The sequence below is a fragment of the Homo sapiens genome, chromosome X, assembly GCF_000001405.40.
Source record: "Homo sapiens chromosome X, GRCh38.p14 Primary Assembly".
Classification (NCBI taxonomy): Eukaryota; Metazoa; Chordata; class Mammalia; order Primates; family Hominidae; genus Homo; species Homo sapiens.
In genome coordinates, this window is record NC_000023.11 from 79,444,571 (window position 1) to 79,457,791 (window position 13,221).

Here is a 13,221-nt window from a genome sequence, read left to right on the forward strand (position 1 = left end):
GAGGATTATTGCATCAATACTCATCACAGATATCAGCCTATCATTTTCTTTTTCTGATGTGTCTTTGTCTAGTTCTGTTGTCAGTGTAATATTTACCTCATAGAATGAGTTTGGAAATATTCTTTTCTCCTTTATTCTTCAGAATAGTTTGAGTGGGATTGGTGTTAGTTCTTCCTGAATGTTTGTAAAATTCATCAGTGAAGCCATCCAGTCCCAAGAGTTTTGAAGGGTGAGATAACAGAAAGATATCCTGTTGCACTCAGTAGGGCTGGTGTGTTTATCTACCTTTATGCCTTTTGGATTTTATTATGTCTGGGCGATTTTCCAATATGTTATAAACATGATGTTTTAGGACTCTCCTTGATTGAACTATGATCATATATCTGGACAATGTTTTAGTTTACTTATGACAGTATTGTCCAGATGGTCCTGGACTGTCTCCAATAGAATCAGCTTTGTGCTTAAAATGTAGAAGTATGAGCTTTATGAAGTCCAAGTCAAGTTTATGATTTCCCTAATATCCTCACAAGGAATTGGGATGAACTTCTAGAGAGTCAGATCACTACTGATTAAAGGACATGAACAGACGCTTTTCAAAAGAACATATACAAACAGCCAACAAGCGTATGGAAAAAAGCTTGATATCACTCATCATTAGAGAAATGCAAATCAAAGACACAATGATATACCATCTCACACAAGTAAGAATGGCTCTTATTAAAAAGTCAAAAAGTAACACACTTACACACTGTTGGTGTGAGTGTAAATTAGTTAACTCATTGTGGAAATCAGTGTGACAATTCTCAAAGAGCTAAAAACAGAACTACCATTCGACCCAGCAATCCCATTACTGGGTATATGCCCAATGGAATATAAATAATTCTACTATAAAGACATGCATGTGAATGTTTATTGCAGCACTATTCACAATAGCAAAGACATGCAATTAACTTGAATTTCCATCAATGACAGATTGAATAGAGAAAGTGTGGTTCCATATAGACAATGGAATACTATGCAACTGTAAAAAAAAAGAATGAGATAATGTATTTTGTGGGAATATGGATGGAGCTGGAGCTCATTATCCTTAGCGAACTAACACAGGAACTGAAAGCCAAATACCACATGTTCTCACTTGTAAGTGGGAGCTAAATGATGAAAACTCATGGACACACAGAGAGGAACAACAGACACTGGGACCTACTTGAAGGTGGAGGGTGGGAGAAAAAAGAGGATCAGAAAAAATAACTATTGGGTACTAGACTCAGTGCCTGGGTGACAAAATAATTGGTACAACAAACCCCTGTGACACGAGTTTACCAATATAACAAACTTGCACATGTACCCCTGAACCTAAAAGAAAAGTTTAGAAAAGGACGCATATCTAATTCTAAAACAAATACTAATAATTTTTCACATTCCACTGATAATTAAATGAGGTGCTTCCTCCCATTTTTGGCCCTGGGTATCTCTCTAACCAATCTTTTGAGATTAACATGAGACATGTCAGTGGACTCCTGTGTCCCCAAAAGCTTTCAAAGAATTAAAATACAGATTCACTTCTGCTAACATCCTTGTATATTTTTATCTATAAAGAGAGATAATTTACGTTAGTATTCAGTCTATTTTCTCCCTCTTAAAAAAGGAAAACCCTTTAGATTTTCCATCCCGGTCACCTCCCTATATATTTCTTCTCCTTTAAAGCTGTGTTTTAAAGAGCTATCTGCATATGAACAACAGTTGAACTCACTGTAGTCATCCACCTACACCCTATTCACAAAAACTAATTTTGCTAAGGTTATCAATGTCCTTTATTTTGAAAATTATGTGGAGTAAGTCCTAATGTACTTGGCCTATCGTCATTAAATGCTTGAGTCCTCTCTCCTTGAACCACTCTCTTGGCATTAATGACATTTAACTCCTTCTACCTTTATGCACTCTCTCACAGCCTCTTTACCTTCTTAATATAGTCTTTAAATATTGGAATTCCTCAGGACTTCATTCTGGTTGCTCTTTTCTTCTCTATTGTTTTACATCTTCATCGAAACCTCACTCACTCTTATGACATTAACGGTTGTCTACATGCTGATTACTCTCCCAGTACGCCAAATCCAGAATCTTATATTTAACTACCTACTTAATAATGACACTTCAGTGTATCCCAGGCAAGCCAAAATGAAGACGATCCAAACTGAATATTTGATATCCACTTGCTCAACTTGTCTCTCAATCATTATTCTCCATTTTAATAAATATCTTCACTTCATAAACATGGTAGTCATTATTGACACCTCCCTGTATTTTATCTTTCATATTCAGTCAAATACCAAGCTCTGTAGATAAATCCTCCAAAATATATTACAAATAGATAAAATCTTTTTCATTTCTGTTACCACTATGCAGCGCTGTTTTTTTAAATGTGTATTTTATTGCTCTTTCTATTTATTTATTTATTTCTAACCTTTATTTTATGTTCAGGGGATACATATGCAGGTTTGTTATATGGGTAAATTGTGTGTTGTGGGGTTTGGTGTACAAATTACTTCATCACTCAGATAATGAGCATAGTACCTGACAGGTAGTTTTTCAGTCTTCAACCTCCTATCACCCTCCACCATCAAGTAGACCCCAGTGTCTATTATTCCTTTCTTTGTGTCCATGTGTACTCAATATTTAGCTAACACTTGCAAGTGAGAACATGTAATATTTTGTTTTCTGTTTCTACATTAATTTGCTTATGCTAATAGTCTCCAGATCCATCCATATCGCTGTGAAAGATATGATTTTGTTCTATTGTTATGGCTACATAGTATTCTATGGTGTATATGTACCACATTTTCTTTATCCAGTCCACTGTTGATGGATAGGCATTTACATTGATTCCGTGAGTTTGCTATTGTGACTAGTACTGTGATGAATATACACATGCATGTGACTTTATGATAGAATTATTTATATTTCTTTGCCAGTATTTCACTCTCTTTAGGAAGCCCTTTCCGACCTCCCTTACTCATTCTTTTTGTGTAACACTTCAGAACACAATGTGCCTATTCTTCATATTACTTGCTGCTGTCACATTTTGCAGTTTCAGGATAATCAGGTAAATAAATATCTGCATCTTTCACTAGGTTGTAAGTTCCATAAGAGCCTTGCTTTAGTCTATTGTGTACATTACCTGGTACACAATGGGCATTCAATAAATAATTGTTAAATGAATTATATAATGCCATAGTAGTTTTTAGCAACAAGTGGGCATTTACCATGTTCCAGAAAATTTGGCAAGTGTTATACATAAATTGTCTCATTTAATCATCTCAATTATCTTATGAAGAGAGTACTATTATTATATTATTTTCTATAGATAAAGAAATTGGGCCCAAATAATCTAAAAATATTTCTCAAATTTGCATAACTAATAAAAGGCAGAAAAACAATTTAAATATATTTCTGTTAGGCTCCAAAGTTTGTGTTTATTAGAAACTCAAGCTCTTTCAGTTTGTCTTTGCTAGAATAGTTTATCTGGACATTTTATTGCTGTCACAAGCCTTAATATAAAATGTTATCTTATATTTTTATTTTCAGGAGGTCTCTACTATATATTACTTGTTAAAATTTTTAGGAAGCTTTAGGTTTGTTTTTCAGTGATTCACTTAAGCAGGCAAAAAATCCTACGTATAAATGACATTTTCTGTCAAATGAAACCTCTATTTTCCTGTTAGTGTTTGCCTTTCACATGTAATACATATATTTTAGCATATACATCACCTCATGCAAGGAATATTAACTTTATAATGTATAATACTTGATATAAGGTTTTGAAAAACACTGTTCCATAACATTTAATAAATCCAGGTCTTAGACCAAAGTGCAAAATACACTGACTGACTTACTCAGTGCCTAGGCAAACTTGAAGAAGTTTTGGTACTATTTTCAAAGTTTATGCCTTCTCTCAATGTTGATAGATGCTTGTATTTCCGAGCTTAGCTGCAGAATAACCTGAATTTCATACTACGGTGTCATCTTTATGTTGTTTCAACATGTTAATGATGACAGACATCCTCATTCCCTATTGGCAGTTACCCATTCAAGACGTCTTTTAATTTTTATAGATGTGCGAATTAGATGGCATTATTAGGAGTGCGGGTTGCTTGTGTTTTTGTAACTATGTGTTGCCTTTTCATTATAATCACCATATTGTGCAATTCTAGGGATCCCAATCTCTATTTTAGTTTATGTAAATGATTCCTAAGGAGTTTCATAGTGTATAGCCTGTGAAGCCATATATTGTGAAGTATCATCTTCTCTTTCTTATTCACCCACAAATAGTGAGTGAATTCCACATAGTAATCACAGAAACATAAAACGAAGACTTTGCTTATTATGTCCTCTGTTACCAACATCATAAATGTCTTATATTTCCACACCTGAATTTACATATAGTAATGTCTTATATACTTCAATTCCAAACATTCTTGTATTAATTAGGCCTCTTAGTGACAAACACCTGAAACCAACTCTAACAAGTTAAGTAAAAACAAATTTAGTAAGCGATACTGAGGGCTCACAGAAGTGATAAAAGGGTAGAAGATCAGGAGGATCTATGAGAGCGAGGAGTAGGACACACACACAAAAAACACAGCTACTGTCTTTTAGAAGGGCCCACCCATTTAATAGATATTGCTGGCTTGTCAGTTTTTCTGCCATCACCACCACAGCTGCTATTGTAATAGATATGTCAAAGTATGTATCCTGACTTTAATACTTTATTCAATATTTAAAGTCCAGGGAAAGGGTTTTTGATTGGCTGCAATTAGATCATGTGTCCAACCTCCTGATCCTCTCAGCCCTATAGGCGGAGTTATGAAATGGAACAGTGGAAGATGGGCACAGGGATTTATCACTGTGCCAATACTACACATAATGAAGAAGTAGTAAATTCCCAAAAGTAAACTGAAATGTTATTAGGAAGGATGTGGTTTCTGGCAGCCAAAAATCCCTCAATTTGAGCAATGTCTGCTATAAGCCCTCTTTCATGTCAATTATGGGTTCCACTTGCATTACCTACTTCTCACCTGTGACACTGCACATAATCTTTTCTTATATAAACTGGCTTTGCAGTTTTATGTCCCTGGTACTGTTGGAATCAAGTACACTATCTTGGTTACTGGAAAGTAGATATTAATAGAATAAAATATAAGAAATGTAAGATTAGCATCCCACTTCAATATTGTTCATCTTCCTCATAGATTAAAAAAAAGACACTAATGATTTCACTATTTCCCATGCATGAACCTGAGAACAGAGGAATGCCAAATTGCCTAGAATTCCCTGGCTGCTGCATTCTTTAAACTGTATCTACCTAGGGGTCACTTATAAAATGATGTTGCATTGAAAACAGATGGAATTATCTCATACTGTATTGGAAGAACATTGCATGCCCTAGTGATTTATTTACTCCCTCATCTCTGTCCTGATTCCATTCTTTTCTCATCTGTACTTGTGTTTCACTACGGCCTTAGCTCTGACTTTAGTAACATGATTAATAACCTAATTTGGGCTGGGACTGTATTTCTTCAGTCTGTCTTCTGTTTGCTTCTTAAAACCATGAACTACATTGCTCAATTCCTTGTTTCATCTATTCCAGACACTTTGAGTTACAGAAGTTTTATTTATGTTCCTGAGATGGGATCCACTCTCTGCTGTGCTTCAGGCCAGTCCAGCATCTTTTCCTCATGACCAAAACAGTTTGTCAAGAAGTATTTTTTTCAATTGCTCACAGAAAATTGATTCTCTGTAGCTGGCATGTTTCTGTTTGTTCTGATCTTTTGCTTCCCTCTAGCGGCCAATGTTTGCATATGTATATGAGGCTAGCAAACTGTGTGTGTGTGTGTGTGTGTGTGTGTGTGTGTGTGTGTGTGTGTGTGTGTGTATAAAATTGATGGAATTTCTATGGTTTCCGTCTCATCACTCCATTGCTAGCCATATATATATGCACACACATATATGTGTATATATGTTTATATATGATCTATATGTGTATATATTTGATATATATCATATATATGATTTATGTGTCTCATATATCATATATATGGATGTATACATTGTGAAACCCAAAAATCTGAGACAGGTCTCATTTAAATTAGAAAGTTTATTTTGCCAAGGTTGAGGACGCGCGCCCGTGACACAGCCTCAGGTGGTCCTAACAACATGTGCCTTCCCAAGGTGGTAGGAGCACGGTTTGGTTTTATACATTCTAGGGAGACATGAGACATCAATCAACATATGCAAGATGAACATTGGTTCGGTCTGGAAAGACGGGATAACACGAAGCAAAGGTGAGAAGACTCAAAGGGGGAGGGGGCTTCCAGGTCATAGGTAGATAAGAGACAGATGGTTGCATTACTTTGGGTTTCTGATTAGCCTCTCCAAAGGAGGCAATCAGATGTGCATTTATCTCAGTGAGCGGAGGGGCGACTTTGAACAGAATAGGAGTCAGGTTGGCCATAAGCAGTTTCCAGCTTGACTTTTCCCTTTAGCTTAGTGATCTGGGGCCCCCAAGATTTATTTTCCTTTCACAATATGTGAGTGTATGTATTATATATATATGTATTATATATGTATATATCATATATGTATATACATCATATAAGTGTGTGTGTGTATATATATGAGGCTAGCAATGGAGTAATGAGATAAAAACATAGAAATTCCATCAATTCAATATCAGATACATTTTTAAAATTTATTGACAAATTTATAAAGAAGCTAAAGAACTTAAAAGATATAGATAGGTTTAAAGGATACCAACTAGGTTTATAAAATTGTTTTGAAGTAAAAACAATAAGACTTGCCTTACCCCTCTACTTTTAATACTGTTTTGTGTATTTTACCCTTCTAGGCTGTATATGTCAGAGGATATCATATCTGATCAAAAGAAAAAAAAGATCAAGACAAGATGAAAAGAACCAAAATGTGAATATACAGTTATAACATTAAAATTAAAGTAAATATTATTTTTTACTATCTCTGGGGGAACAGAACTATTTGCTCTGCTGATGGGTATTTATTTCCCTTTTCCTTATTTATAAGAAAGTGAAAGATATTTCACTGACATAGAATTTGACAGTTTCAGGAATATCAGAGTAGATAGCAATGAGTATAAAGTAAACAAAAAAAGACAACTCTTATCTATTTTTCTACCACTATACTATTATTTCTACTTTTACTTCTGGTACTACTACTATTATAATGACAATAAAGAAACTACTACTACTACCACCACCATAATGACCTCATAATAATAACAATTAATGTAAATCAAGCAATAACTTTATACCAGGCAATGTGGTAATTACTTTACATACATCTTATTTAATTCCCACAACAATGCTCAGAGTCAGATACTATTGTAAGCCCTAACTTACAGAGGAAGACATCCTAAGGCATACAGCAGCTGCAGTCTGCCTGCCACTGAATTTTATCCAGGGTCTGAGCCTGCTGAAGTCAGTTGGTGAAGCAAGAGAAGACAGGCAGAATAAGATGGCAGAGAAAGACTCTCCAGCGACCATCCCTCAATAGAAACATCAATTTGAACAACTATCCACACATGAAACAAATCTTCGTAAGACTCAGGAAACCAGGTAAGAAATTACTACACCTGGTTTTAGCATAATAATTTAAAAGATGCATTGAAGAGGGTGGACAGGAAACTTTTACATTACCTACATCACCCCTCCCCCAACCTCAGACAGCACAGCACTAAGAGAGACACCATTTGCTGAAGGAGAGAGAAGTAAACATAAGACTTTGCCTTGGAATCCAGTGCCAGGTCTGCCACAAAAAAGCCCAGCACCAGGCAGAACCCCATGTCCCCTTGTTCCCAGACCAAACTGAGGGTCGGACTCCTATTTCTTGTGGCCCAGTAAAGAGATGCAAATGAACTGCAGAGGAAGAGTTTTCATTTCTGCAACCGGTTACAGGGAGAAGGCCTGGAAATTATCGCCAGACCAACTCAAAATTAGAGAGTTTTCAGGAGCTTATATACCTTCTGAGCTATATGTCTATGTGTAAGTATTCATTCATCTAAAGAAGTGTTTAACTTCTTTTAATCTATAACTATAGTCTGCGTCCTGAAGACCTTCCTCTGAAGCCTCAGTAAATTTACTTAATCTAAATGGGTGCAGGTGCTGGGTTGATTACCCTTATCTTGTCTCCTGCTGAATCATGGAAGTTTGGGGAGTTTGGGGAGTGCCTTCAGATCCCCAATTAACTTGTTGTGGAGGCCTGGGGAGTTTCTTAAGTCCAACAATGAAACTTGTTTAGTCCTAAATGGGTCCTGTTAAGAATTCTTTCATTATTTTGTCATGCTTTAATGCCCAGGAAAGGCCTCGGCAAAACTCTTGTTGAGCTTGAGGGCACTGGCTTTTAATATTTAACTTAATCACTCAGTCAGTACTGAAACAGTTGTTAAGGAGGTCTGTGTTAGTGAGACCTGGCCTGCCACACCCTAACACTAGGCCAATACCCTGAACAGAACCTCTACACCTGGCATGGTGCCAGACAAGAACCAACAATCCCAGCAGGAGTGACTGAAGTTCTGGCCCATAGCACTGCCAGCCAACTCCAGCTGCCTTGAGACCCAAATAAACCTCAGCAGCAGGCAGTCCATAGCTTTTGCAGAGTTTTAGGTGTGCACCAGAGACAAATATAAGCCTGTGGCCCTGGCAGAATGCATTTGAGTTCTGGCTTGCATCACTGCTGGCAAACTACAGTAGTCTTGGGCTCTGAATTAAACTCATCAAAAGGTATGCCATAGCTGCCATGGACCTTAGGCATGCCCTGTTGCCAGAAGGGCACACATGGCCCTGGTGGAATAGACTAAACTTCTGGCCCACATTACCACTTGCAAACTATAGTAGCCTTGAATCCTAAATAAAACTCCGTGGTGGGCAGGCTGTAGTTGCTATGGGCCAGCCCTAGGTGTGAAAGAAAAACAAGTCTCCAGACGTCAAAATCACTAAGCCAAAGGGAAAAGTCCAGTTCGGAACTGTGTTAGGCAAACCTGCAGTACATTTTATTCCTAAATAGGATAGCTACAAAGATATAAAAAAAGAAGCTACATACCTCCTTCACAATTTGTTCACAAGGGAATTTATCATGGTCCTCAAGAGCTTTACCCTAAAACAGTTCTGTTGCATTTCACCCTGGCAATGAAAATTAATAACTTATCTTCACAGGTGCAGGACAAAGGACAGACAGAACTCAGTCAACCCTCTGCTCACCTGAGAAAAAGTGCATATCTAATTGCTTCTTTGGCCCTATTGTTTATGCAAGAATGCTGATTCATTTGTCTATTTTGGCTTTTGTTGCCATTGCTTTTGGTGTTTTAGTCATGAAGTTGTTGCCCATGCCTATGTCCTGAATGATATTGCCTAGGTTTTCTTCTAGGGTTTTTATGGTTTTAGGTCTTACATTTAAGTCTTTAATCCATCTAGAGTTAATTTTTGTATACGGTGTAAGGAAGGGATCCAGTTTCAGCTTTCTGTATAGGGCTAGCCAGATTTCCCAACACCATTTATTAAATAGGGAATCCATTGGGATCTAATTAAACTAAACAGCTTCTGCACAGCAGAGGAAACTATCACCAGAATGAACAGGCAACCTACAGAATGGGAGAAAATTGTTGCAATATATCCATCTGACAAAGAGCTAATATCCAGAATCTACAAAGAACTTAAACAAACTTACAAGAAAAAAACAACCCCATCAAAAAGTGGGCAAAGGATATGAACAGACACTTCTCAAAATAAAACATTTATGCAGCCAACAAACATATGAAAAAAAGCTCATCATCACTGGTCATTAGAGAAATGCAAATCAAAACCACAATGAGATACCATCTTACACCAGTTAGAATGGTGATCATTAAAAAGTCAGGAAACAACAGATGCTGGTGAGGATGTGGAGGGATAAGAACGCTTTTACACTGTTACTGGGAGTGTAAATTAGTTCAACCATTGTGGAAGACAGTGTGGCAATTTCTCAAGGATCTAGAACTAGAAATACCATTTGACCCAGCAATCCTATTTCTGGGTATATACCCAAAGGATTATAAATCATTCTACTATAAAGACACATGCACACGTATGTTTATTGTGGCACTGTTCACAGTAGCAAAGACTTGGAACCAACTCAAATTCTCATCAATGATAGACTGGATAAAGAAAATGTGGCACAGATATGCCATGGAATACTATGCAGCCATAAAAAGGATGAGTTCATGTCCTGTGCAGGGACATGGGTGAAGCTGGAAACCATCATCCTCAGCAAAGTAACACAAGAACAGAAAACCAAACACTGCATGTTCTCACTCATAAGTGGGAGTTGAACAATGAGAACACATGGACACAGGGAGGGGAACATCCCACCAGAGCCTAGTGGAGGGTGGGGGCTAGGGGAGGGATAGTATTGGGAAAAATACCTAATGTAGATGATGGTTTGATGGTTGCAGCAAATCACCATGGCATGTGTATACCTAGGTAACAAATCTGCACATTCGGCACATGTACCCCAGCACTTAAAGTATAATAAAAAAAAGCCAAAAAGAAATGCAGATTCACTAGGCCTGTCCAAAGCATAAGTCACTTTCCTCTATGCCACCTCATATGTAAATTTTGTATTTAATGAAAGGCTAATCACAGTATTCAGTGAAAAGCTAATGAGAGACTCAAAAGAATACAACCATTTATCTCTTTTTTTTTTTTTTTGAGACGGAGTCTCGCTCTGTTGCCCAGGCTGGAGTGCAGTGGCGCGATATCGGCTCACTGCAAGCTCCGCCTCCCGGGTTCACGCCATTCTCCTGCCTCAGCCTCCCGAGTAGCTGGGACTACAGGCGCCCGCCACCACGCCCGGCTAATTTTTTGTATTTTTAGTACAGACGGGGTTTCACCATGCTAGCCAGGATGGTCTCGATCTCCTGACCTCGTGATCCGCCCGCCTCGGCCTTACAACCATTTATCTCTTATCCAACTTTCAGTTGCACTGCCTTTCAGGACAGAACAAACGTACAGCTTATACATATTGATTGATGTCTCATGTCTCCCTAAAATGTATAAAATCAAACTATGCTCTGACCACCTTAGGCATGTGTCTTCAAGATCTCCTGAGGCTGTGTCACAGGTACATCCTTAACTTTGGAAAAATAAACTTTCTAAACTGATTGAGACCTGTCTCAGATAGTTTTGAGTTTACAAATCCATTACCATAAAGGAATTCTGAGGGGAGGTTCCCTTGATCTTTCACAAATCTCCTATTTGAGCTTGGTACCCGTTTTAGTTATCCTTATGACTCAAACCAGTAGGACAATTTGCTGAGCCCTGGGAGCTCCCGACTTCTAGAGAATCCCTAATCTCTCAAAATTTGGTTGAGATGTAAAGTTTATTTTGCTTTACAACTACTTTTTTAGAGTTTTAATTCCTTCCAACAAGGAAGGCAAGTTTTCCCGCTTCCATGATAATGTAGAGCAGGTAACTTCTTTCTGGAGTTTCAGTTAGTTTCCAACAGGAAAGGCAAGTTTGAAGCTTTTGTTCCCTGCTTCTAAGATGATAGAGAGAAGTCTTGAGCCAAGGCCTCATTCCTAAGAGAGGTGAAGCCCACTGGGCTTCTGGGTCGGGTGGGGACTTGGAGAACTTTTCTGTCTAGCTAAAGGATTGTAAACACACCAATCAGCACTCTGTGTCTAGCTAAAGGTTTGTAAATGCACCAATCAGCACTCTGTGTCTAGCTAAAGATTTGTAAATGCACCAATCAGCACTCTGTAAAAATGCACCAATCAGAGCTCTGTGTCTAGCTAAAGGTTTGTAAATGCACCAATCAACACTCTGTAAAATGGACCAATCAGCACTCCATAAGATGGACCAATCAGCAGGACATGGGCAGGGCCAAATAAGGGAATAAAAGTTGGCCACCCAAGCCAGCAGTGGCAACCCGCTGGGGTCCCCTTCCATGCCGTGGAAGCTTTGTTCTCTCGCTCTTCACAATAAATCTTGCTACTGCTCACTCTTTGGGTCCACACTACCTTTATGAGCTGTAACACTCACTGCGAAGGTCTGCAGCTTCACTCCTGAAGTCAGTGACACCACGCACCCACTGGGAGGAACAAACAACTCCCAACGCACCAACTTTAAGAGCTGTAACACTCACTGTGAAGGTCTGCGGCTTCACCCCTGAAGTCAGCGAGACCACGAACCCACAAGGAGGAACAAACAACTCTGGACGCGCCACCTTTAAGAGCTGTAACACTCACTGAGAAAGTCTGGGGCTTCACTCCTGAAGTCAAGTGAGACCACAAACCCACTGGAAGGAAGAAGCTCCAGACACATCTGAACATCTGAAGGAACAAACTCTGGACACACTATCTTTAAGAACTGTAACACTAACCACAAGGGTCCGTGGCTTCATTCTTGAAGTCAGCAAGACCAAGAATCCACCAGAAGGAACCAATTCTGGACACACTAGCTATGTAGCTAAATTTGGGTTTTTGTCTTGGAAATTCTTCTTAAATATTAAAAGTTAAAATTGACAATGAGCTGGTTTTAGTTTTCCCTTATTATTAGGATGCTCAGTAATCCTATAAAATGTGCAATCATTTGTTTTGCTTAACTTTTTTGTTGCTGTTTGTTTCTGTTTCTGTTGTGGTTTCAGTCTTTGTCCTACTGGGTTTGACCAACTTTATTCAGCTTGGTCAAATCCAAACGAGATTTCCAAATTATGGGGAACAAGCCTTCTGAATTGGCATAATTCTTGCAACTGATAATAAAAAAGGAAAAGAGAAAATGACCAGCAAAAAGAAGATAAATGAAAGATTTTGACTACCTAGAAGGCTTTATGTACATGACAAGGCCACCGTTTCATTAGCCAAGCCAAACTGAAAGGGCAATGGCTGTTGCCTGCTCTAAGATGCAGTTCTGTTCCTAAGGTTCTGCCCCTTTTTTCCACCATCACATCCTGGGTTTGGTTTCTAAATCAAGTCCTTTCTGGATTTATATTTATATTACTTTTGAAATATCAGCAATTTATCCCAGCTAAAATATGGTAATGGGATTTTAATTTTTTTTTTTTTTTTGAGACAGAGTCTTAGTCTGTTACCCAGGCCGTAGTGCAGTGGAGCAATCTGGGCTCACTACAGCCTCTGCCTCCTGGATTCAAGTGATTTTCATG

General features: G+C 38.1%; 1 long non-coding RNA gene across 3 annotated transcripts; it reads left to right on the top strand.

The window, feature by feature from the left end:
* Window positions 1-3,450: 3,450 nt before the first annotated feature.
* Window positions 3,451-12,589, top strand: LOC105373282 (uncharacterized). 3 transcript variants are annotated; one of them, XR_938451.4, is made up of 4 exons: window positions 3,451-6,338; window positions 6,902-6,975; window positions 7,430-7,643; window positions 9,240-12,589. It is a non-coding gene; the product is annotated as an uncharacterized LOC105373282 (long non-coding RNA). The 3 variants fall into 3 exon arrangements; XR_001755905.3 differs by having other exon boundaries at window positions 7,489-7,643; window positions 9,240-10,363; XR_007068275.1 differs by having other exon boundaries at window positions 6,128-7,643.
* Window positions 12,590-13,221: the final 632 nt, after the last annotated feature.